General features: G+C 51.8%; 1 protein-coding gene across 17 annotated transcripts in view, besides 11 other annotated features; it reads right to left on the bottom strand.

Moving 5' to 3' along the window:
* DLGAP4 (DLG associated protein 4) overlaps positions 1 to 17,270 on the bottom strand; it is a 222,295-nt gene that overhangs the window by 50,493 nt on the left and 154,532 nt on the right. For 4 of the 17 annotated variants that reach the window (NM_001388260.1, NM_001388277.1, NM_001042486.4 and 1 more), the window contains exon 1: positions 16,631 to 16,673. The exons of 5 other annotated variants lie outside the window; for them this stretch is intronic. Coding sequence is in view for 2 of the 12 variants with exons in the window: in NM_001388278.1 (NP_001375207.1) it covers positions 15,542 to 15,572 (31 nt within the window). In the remaining 10 variants the exon portion in view is untranslated. Of the gene's footprint in view, positions 1 to 4,968; positions 5,072 to 12,773; positions 12,877 to 15,541; positions 16,347 to 16,630; positions 16,674 to 17,270 lie in introns of those variants that run through there. 8 more of the 17 variants (NM_001388271.1, NM_001388278.1, NM_183006.4 and 5 more) reach the window with 4 other exon arrangements.
* Positions 4,700 to 5,600: an enhancer, noted in NCBI's record as "H3K27ac-H3K4me1 hESC enhancer chr20:35100944-35101844 (GRCh37/hg19 assembly coordinates)". NCBI's record gives its function as "activates a minimal SCP1, AML or CMV promoter by ChIP-STARR-seq in primed H9 embryonic stem cells {active_cell/tissue: H9 hESC(primed)}" and the evidence as "EXISTENCE:reporter gene assay evidence [ECO:0000049][PMID:30033119]".
* Positions 10,457 to 10,506: an enhancer, noted in NCBI's record as "active region_17807". NCBI's record gives its function as "activates an Ori minimal core promoter by ATAC-STARR-seq in GM12878 lymphoblastoid cells {active_cell/tissue: GM12878}" and the evidence as "EXISTENCE:reporter gene assay evidence [ECO:0000049][PMID:35858748]".
* Positions 12,281 to 13,206: an enhancer, noted in NCBI's record as "H3K27ac-H3K4me1 hESC enhancer chr20:35093338-35094263 (GRCh37/hg19 assembly coordinates)". NCBI's record gives its function as "activates a minimal SCP1, AML or CMV promoter by ChIP-STARR-seq in primed H9 embryonic stem cells {active_cell/tissue: H9 hESC(primed)}" and the evidence as "EXISTENCE:reporter gene assay evidence [ECO:0000049][PMID:30033119]".
* Positions 12,341 to 12,635: a silencer, noted in NCBI's record as "tiled region #254; HepG2 Repressive non-DNase unmatched - State 25:Art". NCBI's record gives its function as "represses a minimal TATA promoter and a strong SV40 promoter by Sharpr-MPRA in HepG2 cells {active_cell/tissue: HepG2}" and the evidence as "EXISTENCE:reporter gene assay evidence [ECO:0000049][PMID:27701403]".
* Positions 12,526 to 12,705: an enhancer, noted in NCBI's record as "active region_17806". NCBI's record gives its function as "activates an Ori minimal core promoter by ATAC-STARR-seq in GM12878 lymphoblastoid cells {active_cell/tissue: GM12878}" and the evidence as "EXISTENCE:reporter gene assay evidence [ECO:0000049][PMID:35858748]".
* Positions 13,207 to 14,133: an enhancer, noted in NCBI's record as "H3K27ac-H3K4me1 hESC enhancer chr20:35092411-35093337 (GRCh37/hg19 assembly coordinates)". NCBI's record gives its function as "activates a minimal SCP1, AML or CMV promoter by ChIP-STARR-seq in naive H9 embryonic stem cells {active_cell/tissue: H9 hESC(naive)}" and the evidence as "EXISTENCE:reporter gene assay evidence [ECO:0000049][PMID:30033119]".
* Positions 15,540 to 16,330: an enhancer, noted in NCBI's record as "H3K27ac-H3K4me1 hESC enhancer chr20:35090214-35091004 (GRCh37/hg19 assembly coordinates)". NCBI's record gives its function as "activates a minimal SCP1, AML or CMV promoter by ChIP-STARR-seq in primed H9 embryonic stem cells {active_cell/tissue: H9 hESC(primed)}" and the evidence as "EXISTENCE:reporter gene assay evidence [ECO:0000049][PMID:30033119]".
* Positions 16,331 to 17,121: an enhancer, noted in NCBI's record as "H3K27ac-H3K4me1 hESC enhancer chr20:35089423-35090213 (GRCh37/hg19 assembly coordinates)". NCBI's record gives its function as "activates a minimal SCP1, AML or CMV promoter by ChIP-STARR-seq in primed H9 embryonic stem cells {active_cell/tissue: H9 hESC(primed)}" and the evidence as "EXISTENCE:reporter gene assay evidence [ECO:0000049][PMID:30033119]".
* Positions 16,331 to 17,214: a biological region, named in NCBI's record as "H3K27ac-H3K4me1 hESC enhancer GRCh37_chr20:35089423-35090213".
* Positions 16,447 to 16,926: a silencer, noted in NCBI's record as "silent region_12871". NCBI's record gives its function as "represses an Ori minimal core promoter by ATAC-STARR-seq in GM12878 lymphoblastoid cells {active_cell/tissue: GM12878}" and the evidence as "EXISTENCE:reporter gene assay evidence [ECO:0000049][PMID:35858748]".
* Positions 16,632 to 17,214: a silencer, noted in NCBI's record as "fragment chr20:35089330-35089912 (GRCh37/hg19 assembly coordinates)". NCBI's record gives its function as "represses an EF-1alpha promoter that drives an FKBP-Casp9 reporter gene in an ReSE screen in phorbol 12-myristate 13-acetate-treated (for megakaryocytic differentiation) K562 erythroleukemia cells {active_cell/tissue: K562(+PMA)}" and the evidence as "EXISTENCE:reporter gene assay evidence [ECO:0000049][PMID:32094911]".

Genomic DNA, 17,270 nt, shown 5'->3' with positions numbered 1-17,270 from the left:
CCATGAAAGTCATTTAGGACTCTAGTCCTATGACACAGAATTATTGTCTTTATTCCCTACCCAAATCTTTACCCTCTATCCTCCCTCACAGGCCCATCAACACTGGAGCTTCTTGAGAAATGTTTCAAATCCAGTAAGACGGAAAAGCAAACATCTATTTCAAGTCTACTGTCCTTCGAAAGACTGACCAACAAGAAACCTTAAAAAGCTGCAACTTGTGGAGGGTAGCTGGGTTTCAGCCCAATTTTACCAGTGAAGTGCCGTATGACCTTGGGCAAGTCCCTGTATTTCTGGGTCTCCACTACTTCTACAAATTGGGATCAGGCGTCCTATTTTCCTTGCATTTAACTGCATCCAAACACTGTGCTAGGATTCTCAAAACTGCAAAGGAAGTCCATCATCTGTCTCACTGACTCTGAGTCATAAATATGTTGGAAAGTATTGTCCCATTTCCCAGAAGAGGAAGCTGAGGCTGAGGCAGGTGGAGGGACTTGGCCCAAATCCTAGAGCAAGTAGCTAATGAAGGAATTATGCTTGGGTCCTGTGATCAGATCCACAGCCTTCCTCATCCCATTATCCTGCCTCCATAGGGGGCAGTGGCCAGGCTCCTCAAAGCCACCAGGGGCTTTGGAACCAAGGCTACCTCTGCAGAGGAGGCTCTCCCAGATGATCAGTCCCTTAGCAATTCTGCCAGGATAAGGCCACACATAAGCTTAGATGTGCATTGTGCATTAACTTGGAGAATTGCCTGGGCATGGTGGCTCATGCCTGTAATCCCAGCACTTTGGGAGGCAGAGGCGGGTGGATCACTTGAGGTCAGGAGTTCAAAACCAGCCTGGCCAACATGGTGAAACCCCTCTCTACTGAAAATGCAAAAATTAGCCGGGCGTGGTGGCGGGTGCCTGTAATCCCAGCTACCTGGGAGGCTGAGGCAGGAGAATCACTTGGACCTAGGAGGCGAGGTTGCAGGGAGCCGAAATTGTGCCACTGCACTCCAAGCTGGGTGACAGAGACTCTGTCTTAAAAAAAAAAAAGAAAAAAGAGAAAAAAACAAACTTGGAGAATTAATCACTACCATAAGAGTTAATTATTCAGAGCATTCCCCTCAGCTGCCCTTCAAATATATCTCCTTAAAATGGGCCAGAGAGGGCTGGGCATGGTAGCTCACGCCTGTAATCCCAGCACTTTGGGAGGCTGAGGCAGGCGGATCACCTGAGGTCAGGAGTTTGAGATCACCCCGACTAAAATGGAGAAACCCAGTCTCTATTAAAAACACAAAATTAGCCGGGTATGGTGGTGCATGCCTGTAATCCCAGCTACTTGGGAGATTGCTTGAACCTGGGAGGCGGAGGTTGCGGTGAGCCAAGATTGTGCCATTGCACTCCAGCCTGGGCAACAAGAACGAAACTCCATCTCAAAAAAAAAAAAAAAAAAACCAAAAAAAAAAAAAAAATTGGGCTAGTGAATGAGATACCTAGAGTAATAGAATTCATAGAAAGAATGGTGGTTGCTGGCCAGGTGCGGTGGCTCACGCCTGTAATCCCAACACTTTGGGAGGCTGAGGCGGGTGGATCACCGGAGGTCTGAAGTTTGAGACCAGCCTGACCAACATGGTGAAACCCTGTTTCTACTAAAAATATAAAAAATTAGCCGGGCATGGTGGCAGATGCCTGTAAGCCCAGCTACTCGGGAGGCAGAGGGAGGAAAATTGCTTGAACCTGGGAGGTGGAGGTTGCAGTGAGCCAAGAGAGCGCCATTGCACTCCAGCCTGGGAGACAGAGCGAGACTGTGTCTCCAAAAAAAAAAAAAAAAAAAAAAAAAAGGTGGTTGCCAGGGACCAGGCAAGGGGGTAATGGGGAGTTAGTGTTTAATAGGCACGGAGTTTCAGTTTGGGAAGATGAAGAGTTAAAGAGACGGATAGTGATGATGGCTATACAACAATGGGAATGTACTTAGTGCCAATGAACTGCACACTTAAAAATGGTTAAGAAGGGCCGGGCGCGTGTGTAATCCCAGCACTTTGGGAGGCCAAGGCAGGTGGATCACCTGAGCTCAGGAGTTTGAGACCAGCCTGGCCAACATGGTGAAACCCTGTCTCTACTAAAAATACAAAAATTAACCAGGTGTGGTGGCGCGTGCCTGCAATCCAGCTACTCGGGAGGCTGAGGCACGAGAATTGCTTGAACCCGGGAGGCGAAGGTTGCAGTGAGCCGAAACTGCGCCACTGCACTCCAGCCTGGGCGACAGAGTGAGACTCTGTCTCAAAACAAACAAAAAAAAGGTTAAGATGGTCATTAAGACAGTGTTAAAAATGGACTAGTGAGCGGCCCACTGAAGAATGAGCCCCAGCAGTTATCAAACTGCTTTGATTTTACTCATTCCAAACCTAAAAGTCACAAATAAAATATTTAAAACTAAGCATTTTTAAAAATTTTCTGATTTGAGTTAACTGTATTTGTGAGCAAGGGCTGGTTAATAATCTGCCTACAATCTCTTTACTGAAATTCAGCAAATATAAATAAAAGAAAAATAATCCAAACAGAAAATAAAGATCAGAGGTGTACAAAGGCAGTAATGGATGTGTTAGTATCATAGAATCTTGGACAGGAATTGGGTAAGAGATTGTATGGAGAGCCGGGCTTGGTGGCTCACGCCTGTAATCCCAGCACTTTGGGAGGCCGAGGCGGGCGGATCACAAGGTCAGGAGTTCGAGACCAGCCTGGTCAACATGGCAAAATCCCATCTCTACTAAAAATACAAAAATTAGCCAGGCATGGTGGCAGGCGCCTGTAATCCCAGCTACTCAGGAGGCTGAGGCAGGGGAATCACTTGAACCCGGCAGGCGAGGCTACAGTGAGTCAAGATCATGTCACTACATTCCAGCCTGGGTGACAGAGCGGGACTCCATCTCAAAAAAAAAGGAAGAAACATATAAACATATTCACTTGCAGTACATTCATTATCACACCTCTTTAGGTTCACCGAGACCCCCAGGGTCCTGCCTGACCTTGAGACTACTCCAGATGTAACCCCTACCTCTCCTGTTCCCTCAAGATACCCCCACCTCAGGGTCGTGACACCTCCCAGTCGGCCCTTGACTGCCTCCTTCCCATCCAGCAGTCACTTTCCCTGAGATGCCTTCCCCAATTTCTCAGCATCTACTTGTTTCCTTTAGGGTTCTCATCACTAACAGATTAGACAGTATCCTGTTTATTTGTTACCTGCTTGGGTGGGGACTCCAAGCTGGAGGGAAGTCAATCTTGTTCCCTAGTCTCTCCCTGGCTCCTGGCACAGCACTTGGCACTCAAGTAAATGAATGGCTGATTGTTTGGAAAGAGAAGTGGAGGTGGGGTAGGAAGGAGGGAGGAGCCCAATCCCTGCCCTCCACCCCCCACCCTTCCCACACACTGCTGCATGTGCCTCTTTTAAAGAAACTGCTGGGACAGCAGCAACGGTGGCAGCCCTACCTTTACTGGGTGATGTCAGACAGGCCCCTCTTCCCCACCCCACCTTGGTCTGCACTCCACAGGCAGGCAGACAACTCCTATTACTGCATCCCTGTGCAGGGCAACAGCCACGCCAGGGGGAAGGCAAGAAAGTTCCAGGAGAGGCTAGAACTATCCAACCTATTCTCCGCAGTCAATAATAGGTCCTCGTCACAGCCCCCAGTAGGAAACTGCCCAGATGGAGTGATGACCCTGCAGAGAGAACTCTAGCTCCACATACCTGGCAGATTCTGACAGCCCTGGATAGATTCTCCAGCCTGATCTTGGGTTTCCTGAACCCTGGACAGTCTGCCCTTCTTCCCCTTCCCTCACGCAGAGCATTCGCCTCTCCCCTAACCCAGGCCACCTTTCCCCATAAGAGCCCTGCACTTGGCAAACAGCCATCAAATAACTGACTCCACTCCAAACAGCCCACCCAATCCATCTACATCTTTCCAGGCATGGGACATGGACAGTTTTTGGCTATTTCAAGTCTTCTCTTTCCCCCTGGATGTCAGTAACAGCAGCAGCTAATACTTCTCAAATGCTTCCTCTGTACCAGGCACTGTGCTTAGTGCTTTGCACAAGTTTCTGTTGTCCTCATGCTGGACTACAGTCAGGTATTATTAGCATCTCTATTTTGCAGGTGAAGAAACAAGCCCAGAGAGGTTAAGTACCTTGTCCAAGGTCTCACAGCTCTAGCTGGCAGCCCAGGAACTGAACCCCAGCAGTCCAACTCTACAGAGATGCTCTTAACTATAGGTACATATGACCTCTGGGGTGTGGGCTTCCTGATCACCTACTGTATGCTCAGTAGGTGCCCTTAGGGACTGGACTCCAGCTCTGTACTTAGGGACCCTGTGACTGTGCAAAGGAGAAGAGAGGTACATAAAAATCGTATTTGCTGGCCAGGCATGGTAGCTCACACCTGTAATCCCAGCACTTTGGGAGGCCAAGGCGGGCAGACTGCTTGGGCCCAGGAGTTTGAGACCAACGTGGGTAGCATAGTGGGAAATCTCTATTTTAAAAAATCATATTTGGTCTAGCAACAAAATTGATACCATATTTGCATTGATAAGTCTGAGAATTTCCTTAGTAAAAGCACAGGAAATAGGAACTTGAGACCCCAGCTAATCAGGTAACAGTTAATATCTGAAAGACACAGGCCAACCAAACTGGGTGTTACGATACTCTCTCACCAGCTTCCAGGAACCAAATTCAACTTAATAGCAGAGATAGAAGGAGCTCCCTCCTGCTGACAAACAAATGAGGAATCTGCAGGCCAGAGAAGGGAAGGGTCTTGCCTGAGGCCACCCAACAACTCAGCGACATAAAATGGTGAGAAGCCAGCAGTTCCAGCTCCTCCATCCTTTGGCTTTCAGGACATCTGGGTCCCAAAAAGAAACTATAGGAGGTAAGTAAGTGCCCACAGTGACCAAAAGTTTAAGAGTTTTCATGGTAAAGACAGGGCACTGGCTCTTACCTTCAGGGAAAGTGAAATGCTCTGTGAAAGCTGGGTTTGGGAAGCCAGGATTTCTTTCCCAAGCTGACAGAAGCCCAGCTCCAGCTCAGCTCTGCCCCGGAAGGATGGGAGTTTAAAAGGCCTACCTGGAGCCCGGCTGGGACCACACCCACATGGGGCTGACTTCACCAGAGAACCCATCCTACTGGCTGTCTCCCAGACAGCAGTGGGCCAGGCCAGGACGCCACTGCCTGTCTGTAGCCTGGCGCCTCTCCCTGCGGGGCCCCACCCAGTCCCTACCCCAGCCAGGCTCCCAGAGCAAGGGTGGGAGTGGGTAGGGAAAAGGCCTGCTCCCCTCCTCATGAGGCCACCTGGGCCTGGGTCCCTCAGAGTGTCCCCTCAGCCTGGGCTGGGTCTGAAGTGGCTGCTTCCTGCTTTGCCATTTTTCTTTCACTTTGGTTTTTAACCCCAAAGTGAAACTTTACGACTAGAACAATTTGGGAAAGATGTTGAGAGTTAAGGACTAGGAGAGTCAAATGCCTGGCTTCTAATCCAAGCAGAAGTGAGCTGAGACCTGTCAAGTTCACTGGGAGACTTGGGAGGAGATCTTCAACTTCTCCAGGCTGCAGTTTTCCTATTGATAAAATAGGAGGGAGGAACTAAGCTAGTGATTTTTTTTTTTTTTTTTTTTTTGAGACAGGGTTTTGCTTTGTCACCCAGGCTAGAGTGCAGTGGCACAAACAGCTCACTACAGCCTTGACCTCCTGGGCTCAAGTGATCCTTTCGCCTTAGCCCCACAAGCAGCTAAGAATACAGGTGTGCACCACCACATCCAGCTAATTTTTGTATTTTTTTATAGAGACGGCGTTTCGCTATGTTGCCCAGACTGGTCTTTAACTCCTGAGCTCAAGTGATCCACTCGTCTTGGCTTCCCAAAGTGCTGGGATAACAGGCATGAGCCACCACACCTGGCCCCCACTAGGCTAGTGATTTTAAATGTCATTTTAAATTAGAAAAAAATGATAGAACTTTCCCTTCCTCATCCCTGCTGCCACTGGAGCTAAAAAAGGAGCTGCAAAGATGATCTGCTGGGGGAGCCTTTTTGGGCCATCCTGCTGGCTTGGGGGAGGAGGCAAAAGTCTGCTGGCAGTGTAGACATGCTCCTGGTCTCCCTGACCACCTCTCTCGGATCTACCGACTGAGTTCCTTTAGCCTGCACAGGTTCTAGAGGTCTCAGCAACCTAGGGCAGAGCAAATTCCGGGAGCCCCTAAGTATGATCTTTTTTTTTCTCTCGTCTTGTATGTTCTTCCAACAAAAGCCTAAGTATGATCTTGACCGTATCTCAGCACAGCAAGAGGAGACACCTACCAATAGCTGCCCTAAAATTTCCAGCCTGAGGGCTGACCTGGCCATCTGCTAGGACTGACAACGGCCCACCCAGGGAACTGGTCTAGACTTCAGAATCTCTGCTGACCCTGGCATGCCCACTCTGTCTAGCTAAGACCACTTTAATACATTTCACGATGTCTTCCTACTGGCTGGTTTACCAAATAGCCAGGGACATGAGAAAGGCAGGAATGAGTCTCCCAACTATTCAGATGAGGAAAACTGAGGTTCAGTGAAGGGCAAGAGTATAGCAGCCAAGCCAGCACTGGGATTCAGGAGGTCAGTTTATTTATTTATTTATTTATTTATTTTTGAGATGGAGTCTTGCTCTGTCACCCAGGCTGGAGTGCAGAGGTGCAATCTCGGCTCACTGCAACCTCCGCCTCCCAGGTTCAAGTGATTCTTCTGCCTCAGCCTCCTGAGTAGCTGGGACTACAGACACCCACCACCACGCCCGGCTAATTTTTGTATTTTTAGTAGAGACGGGGTTTCACCATATTGGCCAGGTCGAGTAGAGGTCTCGAACTCCTGACTTTGTGATCTGCCTGCCTTGGACTCCCAAAATGCTGGGATTACAGGCATGAGCCATCGCGCCCGGCAAGGTCAGTAAATATTTGAATGAGCTCACTGGCTTCACCGTTGCTAAGCAGGTGCAGCACGAGAGGAGCTCATGGAGGAAACAAATTTGAATCTGGGGGTGAAGGCGGGGTGCCTTTTAAAATATATACATTTTCAGAATGAAAAAGAAGGCAATTAAAAAATACATGACAAAATTTTAAGCGCACAGACTCTTGGAAAGAGTAATTCTGTGTGCAGAAATGGCTCCGACAGCTACACATGCACTCGTGCATGGAGACACACAGGAAAGGGTGTTCACTGCAGCACTGTTTACAGCAGCAAGATTGAGAACAAGCTAAACATCCTTGAGTAGAGGACAAACAACTGGTGGTCTATCCGTCAATGGAAAGCCACATGCTCAGGAGCAAAGGTGGCCATGAACCTGTATGTGCCCACCAAGAATAACCTGCAACAGAGACTTACATGAAAAATTCAAGGTATAGAAAAGTAGGGAGAGACTATGCCACTGTCTAAGTAATAAAAAGGGATGTTACTGACAATAGCTGCACGTGATGCTGAGTATTTCTATAAGGAAACCTCAAGACTCGTCACAGTGATTAGGTGTCTGGGTAGGACAGGGACTAATTTTTCATTGGGCTTTTTTTTTTTTTTTAACCAAGTTTGAATTTTTTTAAACCAACATACATGTATTGCTTTTTCAGTAAAAATATAACTTTTACACACAAAAAAAACCTCCAGCAAAACGTATCCAGAGATGCCTCTTCCTAGATCTCAGGTATCAGACTCCCTGGGTTGGGAGGGGAGGCAGGACCCAGGCACACAGATTTTGAAATGTCTCCTCAAGGGCTGCTGGTCTAGCCTTGCAGAACAGGCAGTCAGCCTCTGAGAGTAGACTGAGGAAGCCTGGACACTGTGGGGCTCTGGGGTGTGGAGGAGAGTGCCAGGGAAGACTGTGGGAAAACTTGACTTTGAGGCATAGGAAGGATTTGAAGAAGGCTTTGAATGCTGACCATGTACAGCTGGGATGAGAGGGTTCCTACAGGAAGGACGGGAAATTAAGTGAAACTGATAAGGGAGGGGAAGGGGAAGGAAGGTCTCTCAGTATGGGATCCTGGCAAGTCCCTTTCCTCCGAGATTTAGTTCCTACTCATGGGAAAGGAAGGGGCTGGGCCAGAGTCCTTTTCAGACCTGCTATCCTAGGACCTTACTTTATTTCATCTCATTTAATATTAAAGGAGGTGGGGAGGGTCCCCAGCTCAGCACATGGCCATAGAGCTCCACACCTGTGCAGAGTGTAATCAAATATTTGGAGGCTGCAGAAAATTCACACAAGGATCTTAGGTAAAGCAGCCCTTGGGCAACGTTCCCCCAGGGAGAAGGAGCAGATGGCCTTCTGCTGAGATGCCCTTCCTCACCCTGTTAATAATTAAGCCATTCCTGAAGACCTCTTTTGTTACTTTTTTTTTTTTTTTTTTGAGACAGAGTCTTGCTCTGTTGCCCAGGCTGGAGTGCAATGGCGCGATCTCGGCTCACTGCAACCTCCACCTCCCGGGTTCAAGCAATTCTCCCGCCTCAGCCTCCTGAGTAGCTGGGATTACAGGCATGTTCCACCACGCTCGGCTAATTTTTGTATTTTTAGTAGAGATTGGGTTTTGCCATGTTGGCCAGGCTGGTCTCGAACTCCTGACCTCAGGTGATCCGCCCGCCTCAGCCTCTCAAAGTGCTGGGATTACATGCGTGAGCCACCATGCCCAGCCTCTTTTGTTACTTTTGAAGTTCGGTTTGCAGAGACTTATGCCTTGGCTTGCTTTATACCAAGATGCTCCAGGATAAGGGCTCACGGGCTGCAACAGTCTAGACCTAAGCCACAGGCCCAAACTACAGGGACCTGAAGTGGAGAGGGCCCAGGATGCAGGTTAGGAGCCTGGGGTGGATCCTGGCTAGATCTCGGTGTGCTGCTGCTGCAGACTCTGGGAGGTCAGAAACTAAGTCTTTAAGGCAGCTCTGTCTGTCAGTGTTTCCCCAGGGCCAGCTCACTGCCAGGCACAGAGCAGCACTTAATAAATATTTATTGAATAAGTAGCTCAGCCACAGTGAGCTTGGTCAAGCCTCTTTCTACCAGTGAACCTCAGTTTCCTCTTCTGAAAAACAAGGATGATAAGAATAGTAATACTTTCCAAAGTTGGATAAAGATCTACTGAGATAATGTGTATGAAAGTGCTCTGCAAATCAAAACAAACTAAACAAATATTAAAGATCCAGAACCAACGTGCTGAAACAAAACAAAAAGAATGAATATACGGGAGAATGAGCAAATTTACGAGAAAGCAACTGGCTCCAGATGGTCATCAAATGAATTACTACAATGGAAAGGGACAGCATAGGTCACTCTAGTCCACTGTTCCAAAGTCCAAATAGCATTTCTCAGGCCACCTCTGTTCCAAAGGAGCAAAAAATCTCTCAAAACCTTTGTCCAGATTTTGGTATGACGAACACGGTTACAGTTACAATTGTACCCTGCATACCACTGGGCTCAGAGTATCTGCCAAAGCAAACTGGCATACAGATGCTGGGTGTTTGCTGGAGGCAAGGGACCAGCAGGGTGAGGGGCACCTGGAGGCTGTGCCTGCCATGTGGTTGCTCTGCCTCATGACCAAGTTTGTGTTCAGAGGAGTGTGGGCTGCACACAGAGAGAATGATTGGCTGGGAGGCCTCGGCCAAGCCATCAATTTCCTGGCTGTACACTGGGACCAACCACTGCTGCCTCCCATGGTAGCCACTGTGTAAGCACTAGTCCCCTTCCCTTTCCCTCTGCCCACTGGGGATTCCTGGCTGCAGCCTGAGAAATGAGTCCTAGCCTCCGTCACTTGGCTCTCCTGTGCAAGGCACCTTGGAGACAAGTCCCTTCCCGCCTTTGTGGGTGACTGATTGCGTTGGCTGGGCCCCTCTCTGGTGGGGGCTGGCTGAGAATTCCAACAGACCCAGTGGTGGACATGCCTACTATCAGACTGGACATATACACAGCACAACTCCGGAACCTTCTCACAGTCCAGTGTGTAAAACTGCTTGTGTGAGGGTCCCTAGCTCCTCTGACTCTTCCACCTTTAAGGAATTCTAAACTGGCACCCTGACCTTCAGGATCCTTAGAAAGCAAGATTTGTGGGCTTTTAGGATAAATGTGCTTGCTCCTAATTAAAGGGAAAGAAGGCTCAGCCCCTTGGGACCCTAAAAGCAGGAGTTCCCTTTCCAAGAAGCAGAGCTGAGCTGTGGGAAGAGACACGGTTTGGAGACAGTTGGCCTTGGGCCTGAGCTACCTTTTCCTTATCTGCAAAACAGGGATGGGAAGTCCATCTGCCTCTGGCTTATTGTACAGATTTCATGAGCGCCCTTGTGGAGCCCCTGGCGCAGAGCCAGGCAAACAGCAGGTGTACAAGAAATGTGCTCAGACTGCTACTTCCTGCCCCAAACCAGCAACACCCAACATTTTCCCTTCTGGCCCATCAGAGCGCTGGCCAAGCTTTCCTAAGGGAGCACAGCATCCTCTGCTACCCCAATTGGCTCTTCCCACTCCCATGGGCCCCACCCAAACCTCACCCTCTTGTGTCATCTGGATGCCTGCAAAGCCTCCTCCCTGTTGTGATTTTTATTCATTCCAATTTACCCAGCCTGATTCATCCTCTGGAAAGTCTTCCAGTTGTGCTACCTCTGCTCTAAAACCTTCCATGCCTCCCCAGTGCCTCTGCTTTTCAGCTGTTTAACACTGCCTACAACCTCCTGGCTCCACCCAGATTTTCCAGCCAGAGCCCTGATGCCTCAGCAAAACTAGCATACTGCTGTTTCCCTAAATGCACACTTATCATCCAGCCATGCCCTCTGCACCCACCTCCCTGGAATGTCGGCACCACCCTCTGCCTCTGCAAATCCAGCTCCCCTCAAAGGGCTCTTGTTTCCTCTGGCTCATGCTCACTTCTTCCTTCTCAGACAATGCTTTTCCTCAGCAGACGCTTAATTACAGAGTGTCACACAGTCTCTCATAATTGTAGGCTTGTCTTCTTGTCAGACCATAAGTTCCTCAGGGCAGAGACGCCTTGTCTGTCTATTAATCCCCATCCTCTCAGAGCCTGGCCCAGGGCTAGGAAGGCAGGGCCGAGAGAAGGGGGGGGGAGAGAGAGAGAGAGAGAGAGAGAGAGAGAGAGAGAGAGAGAGAGAGGAGAGAGAGAGAGAGAGAGACAGAGACAGAGAGAGAGAGAGAGGAGAGAGACAGAGAGAGAGAGAGAGAGACAGAGAGAGAGAGAGAGAGAGCAAGAGCGAGAGACTCGCTTTGACCACTTGGGACCACTTCTCTTGCTCCTATCCCATGAGGAAACTGTTCACTGGCCAAACCAGACCTCAGGGCTCCAGGCCAGTGATGTACAGAGACGAGGGAGCCCGGGGGAGGGAGGCAGAGATGTGGCTCTAGTCTTGCTCTGGGATCCTAGGCATCCCTACCCGTCCCTGGGCCTGCCTCCATGCTGTGGAACAGCCATGTTTTAGCTCTAGAATGTGGCTTGTATTTCTCTTTAAGGTAGCCTTGGTTTCTAAGAATGGGTGGGTCTGTCTGTTAACACAGCTGATTCCAGCACAGGTTGAGTGAGGAAAGGCAGCCACAGTCAGGTCTGGGAAATCTGGGAACCCGAGAGAGATTTACACCACACACCTCATCAACCTCATTACATTCCTGTAAGGACTAGACTTCATTCCTGCTCAGGTGTTCAATTCCACAGCCTGCACCCTGGCCCAGTCTGACTTGACAGTGCCTGCTGCCAGGACCAAGTAGGGGAAAGGTGACTTGCTTCTGAAAACCACCAATCCCCACACAAAACAAAGCTGATGATGGTGATGACTGCCATTTATTGAGGGGCTGTTACTACACGAGTTCTCATTTCCATCCCAATCTGATAGGGAGGAAAACGGAGGTACAGAAAGCTGACTAATCCAAGGTCACACAGCAACAAGCTAGGCTGTCATGCAAACCAGGGTCCTCTCAGTTCAGCTTTTCCCAGGTTGCAGCCGACAGGCTCTCAGCACCAGCATCCTCTAGAGAGCTGGTTTAAAAACCTAGGGGCATGTGATTCCTGCCCCAAGACCTGCCAAATGAGAGTGTCTAGGGATGGAGCTTTATAAAGACAAGAAACCCAAATTTTATATATGAGAAAACTGAGGCACAGAAAGGTGGCGTGACCTGCCAAGGTCATGCCGTAAGCATCCTCAGGAGTCCTGCTGGGACTCCAGAGCCAGCAAGGACAAACTTCCTGGGGGAGGTGGCATTTGACAGTGTGGGCCTCTAGGGGAAGAGAGGGCACTATAGGGGAAGAGGACAGCATTAATAAAGGCTGAAGCGGGAAAGGACAGGCAACAACTTCTCAAAGTGGCTAGGGGAAGGAAGAAATACATACAGAACCACGATGACAGCCTTCCCGCAAGAGCCCATCTGAGCTTCTGGGAAGAAAGCCTGTGTGGCATTTACAATCTGCAGGTCTCCAGCAGTGGCCCTCTGGGTGTGTCTGGTTGCTGCTCAGGATGAGAAAGCCACGGGAGGTGGTGACTCAGTCCCCACCCAGCCTCCAGATAGCCTCCTTTTAAATTCAAGATGAGCTCAGAGACTGGGGAAATGTCAAGAAAACCCTCCTCCCAGAACAGATGGGAACAGACCCAGGGAAGGCGGCCTGAGGGGTAGGCTATCAGGCAGAAGCCATAAACCTGGAGAAACGCTGCGGGCTGTGGAGAAGAGGCCTGGGCTACAAGTTTGCCTGTCACTGCTGTGGCTGTGGGCCCCTGAGCAGGTCCTTGTCTCTCTCTGGGCCCCCTATTTTTCATTCACCTGTGAAACAGGGAGAACTCCACTGGCTTCCGACTTCCAGGCCTGTTGGTGGAGAACAATGGTCGGGAAAGAGCCTGGCTGATTACACAATGCCTCACACAGCCTGGGAGAGATGAGAAGATCACTCCTATTACTATTAGAATAGCCACAGGTGCTTTCCTAGTTATCTAAACCCCAACCACAGGGCATGCGGGGGTGGGGGGGATGGGGGGGGAACTGGGCTGTCTAGTTCCTACAAAGAGAAAAGTCACCCAGATGTTTTTGGGAAGGGAAAGTTCACATTTATTAAGTGCCTACTGTGCACCAGATTTAAAAAAAAATACATAATCTCATTTAATCCTCATCATAATCCTGTAGTACAGATCTTGAGTCCAGATAAGAAAACTGAAGCTCAAAGAAATAATTTGCCCAAGATTACAAACGCAGTGAATGATGGAGACTGATTAAAACCAGGCGTTTGTGGTTCTGAAACCCAGAGTTTCTACTCTCTGGAACAGTTTCTTCTTTTTTTTTTTTTGAGACAGAGTTTTGCTTTTGTCACCCATGCTGGAGTGCAATGGTGCAATCTCAGCTCACTGCAACCTCCGCTTCCCAGGTTCAAATGATTCTCCTGCGTCAGCCTCCCAAGTAGCTGGGATTACAGGCGTGTGCCACCACACCCAGCTAATTTTTGTATTTTCAGTAGAGACGGGGTTTCACCATGTTGGCCAGGCTGATGTCGAACCCCTGACCTCCAGTGATCTGCCCGCCTCGGCCTCCCAAAGTGTTGGGATTACAGGCGTGAGCCAGCGCGCCCGGTCGACAGGGTCTCATTTTGTTACCCAGGCTGGAGTGCAGTGGCATGATCTCAGCTCACTGCAGTCTCGACCTCCTGACCTTCTGGATTCAAGCTGTCCTCCTGCCTCAGCCTCCTCCAAGTAGCTGGGAATACAAGCGCATGCCACCACACCCAGCTAATTTTTGTATTTTTTGGAGCAACAGGGTTTTGTCTTGTTGCCCAAGCTGGTCTTGAACTCCTGAGCTCAAGCGACCTGCCTGCCTTGGCCTCCCAAAGTGCTAGGATTACAGGAGTGAGCCGCTGCTCACACAATTCTTGAGGGATTCCATGATTTCAGAATCAGTCTTAGGATAAGGAATGTTATTCCCATTTTATGGATTAGGAAGCTGAAGCCCAAAGGAAAGTGACATCCCTAAAAGTGGGTGAGATGTGGGAACTGGGATCCTGCACCCCTCACTTCCAGGCCAGGCACCAAGCCCTTCTTCTTTTCCACTGCAAGTAGCTGAAGTAAAGCACCAAGCACAGCGTACACAGTAAAAAGGTCAAAGGATGTTAGAGATTGTCATTATACACCAGGGGCAGGTGATAACAGCATGACAGTGACTTCTTCAAAGGCAGTGCCATGGAACAGGACCCAGAAGTCCTGGCTCAAACCTCTGTGGGTCCCTGGCCCTTCTGGGCCTCATCTCTTCATCTGTAAGACAAGGCGCTTGAACAGCTGATCTCATTCCCTGCACCAAAGTTCTAGGACATCCTAAGCTCCTTGACAGCAAACCCCAGCTCTCTGCAGAACCTCTCTCGGCTGAGGTCTTTGTTCCCCTACTCTACAGGGGAAGCAGGAAAAGCAGCCAAGGCTCACAACTACAAAGTGACTTTATTCCAAGTGCCACTGTCCAAGCAGGGCCCACCCTTAAACAACAATGGGATGGAACATGGAAAATCCAACTGTCCCCCTGCACAGACATCCCGATGGGCACGCCCATCTATCTTTACAAACGGACTAACAAAGAACAAGCAGGATTGGGGCCTGAATTAAGAAACAGCCGTCTCCCTGCTCTATTGGAAGGGCAGGTGCATTCTCGAATAACCAGGTAGTGGGGAGGAGGTTAAAGAGCCCTGGACTGTAATGTCCTAGTCCTGGATCCCTGTCCCAGCTCTGGCAGGAGCCAGCCAGCTGTTTACCCTTGGGCAAGCTCCTCTCCCTCGATGGGGCTGTTTAAAGACAGGCTGACAGTTCACAAAGCGTGTCTACAGATGTTTCATTTGATCATCATGACAACAGTGTGAGGCCAGCACAATTATCCACTTTTTACAGATAGGGAAACTGACAGAGAGGACAAGGGTCTCGCTCAAGGTTACAACACCTTGAAGCTGGCAGAACCAAGGCCCCAGAGGTTAGACTACCAAAGTCAATCCTCAGGGTGGTCAGATTAAGAAGTCCTCTCCCTGCTCATCCTGAATCGAATCTCAGCAAGATCCAGGCAGCACAGACCTTTGTTCACTTGCCCACTCTGGTGTTCTGCAAAGTTCTGGCCATGAACCCCACAGCCTAGCTGCCTAGGAGGCTGACCCCACCCCCACCCCCCTGCAAAATTTCATTACTCAAGCTGGCAAGAACGCAGCCCCCACACCCAGCCGGGGCTAAATAAACGTCCAAATGATATCACATCCTGCCGGCTCCAAAATAGCCCGGCCTGCCCACAAGCGATCACAAAGTGCCAGGCCATGCGGGGCCAAGTGGGCAGGGATGCCCAGCCCGTGGTGCCCTCCACACACTCAAGCAACTAAAGCAGAAGCCTCAGAGCAGGAAGGCCCCCCACTCCCTCCTCCGCCAGACAGCCTGGCCCCTCCCTCCTTTCCCCCTTTGTGGGAGGCCTCAGAGCCCCCTTGCCCTAGCGCCAGCCCTTGCCCCAGCGCCAACCCCATGGAGCCTCGGCCGCGGCCAGCCTGCGGGCCAACTCCGGCCCGACCCGGACACCCCACCACTCACATTGCTTCAAGAGCTCCAGACACAAAGCCATGAGGGCCGGATGGGGGTCAGAGACCCAGAGACCCGGCAAAGACAGAAAAAGGGAGAGGGAGACAAGGAGCAGAGAGAAGGGGAGACAGGGGGCTAGGGCTGAAAAAGCAAGGGGGGGCCAAGGGCCCCAGGCAAAGAAGCAGGCTCAAAGGGGGGCCTTCAGCGCAAGAGGCACAGAGTGGCGAGACCACCGAGACAGATGTGGGGGCACAGAGGGGCAGGGAGAGCAAAGCAGGGGACCCCGATCCCGAGAAGTGGGGGTGCTCGGAGACCTGAGAGAGAACAAGGAGAGACAGCGACAGGGGACAAACCAGGGGAAAGCAGAGAGGAGCTCCTGAAGTCAGGGAGCTGAGGACATATTGGGGGGTCCCAAGGAGAAAGACCCCAACTTGGGACCTAGGAGCTCCCAGTGGATATGGGGAACACCCAGAAGAGGGAAAGCCCAGGGGCAATGGGGGTTCAGAGGAGGCGAGACCCCAGCGACTTGGGGTGCAGAACCCCCAAAGGATGTGCAAGAAACTCACGGGGAGCCCTTGGGGAGAGTGGAAGGTGTTCTCAAGGGGAACCCCAAAAGATCTGGGGGCGCTCTGAGGGGGAGTCCCGAAGAGTGGGGTCGCCCAGAAAGGGCGGCTCTGAGGGCTGAAGAGCGCTCTGAGAAGGGGACCCGAGATGGGGAGCGAGGGAGGGGCTGCGGAGGAGCGCGAGGGCAGAGACAAAGAGACAGCGAGCCGGGGAGAGACAAAGCGGGCGGAGCGGGGACACGGGCTGGAGGACTGGCGGCTGGACAGGACGGAAGCGCGGGCGGGCGGGCGGGCGGGCGGACGGACGGACGGACGGACAGACGGGGAGGAGGAGGAGGAGGAGGAGGGCGAGGGCGGGGGCGGGGCAGGGCCGGGCCGGGCCGGGCGGGGCGGCCCCCGTCTCCTCGCGGGGCCGCGGCTGCTCCGGGCGGCGCTGGGCGGGCCCCGGGCGTCCGGGCTGAGGAGGCGGCAGCGACGACGTGGACCGGACAGACGGACGGACTGGCGGCGGCGGCGGCGGCCAGCGGCGGGCACTCACCCTCCTCCCTCACGCAGCCCGGCCCGAGGCTCCGGTTTTGTACGCCCGAGGGGCGGGGCTCCGGGTTAAAGTCCCGCACCTGCCCCGCCCCTCCCCGCCCCCCGCGTCAGCCGCGCGCGCGTCGTCAGGGACTCCCGGGCCGGGCAGGGGCGCGCGCAGCCCGCTTGGCATGTGGCCCGGCGCGCGCAGCCGGGCTGGTCGGCAGGCGCGCGGGCCGCCGCGTCCGGCCCACGCCCAGCCGGCCGGCCCAGGAAAGGAGCGCGCGCCCACGTCGGCACGCGCATGCCCGAGCATGGGGGGGTGGGGGTGGGGTCGCCGCCCCTCGAACCGCCTCGCCAAACCGGTTCCAGCTGGAACGCGACGCATGCTCTGTGCGGGAGGTGGACCGAGGCGGGAGTTCCCACCAGTTCACCCCAGCGACACCTCGCTGTAAGGGGGGAACCGAGGCTCCGAGGAAGCTGCCCGAGGTGGCCCTCTCACCCCTGCATAGTCAGATTGGCCCTCTGGTCCTGGCTGCTCTGCGCCCTAGGTGTATCTAGCTGTCCTCGCCACTGCATCCTCCCTTTGCTTTGCTAACCCAGAGTCCTAGAGATTGGGTTCCAATCCCGGCTCCGCCTCTGGAGGCCTGTGTGATCTTGAA

The sequence above is a fragment of the Homo sapiens genome, chromosome 20 (assembly GCF_000001405.40).
Source record: "Homo sapiens chromosome 20, GRCh38.p14 Primary Assembly".
Lineage (NCBI taxonomy): Eukaryota > Metazoa > Chordata > Mammalia > Primates > Hominidae > Homo > Homo sapiens.
Note: the sequence above shows the minus strand (reverse complement) of the source record. Positions and strands in the feature narration are given on the sequence as shown.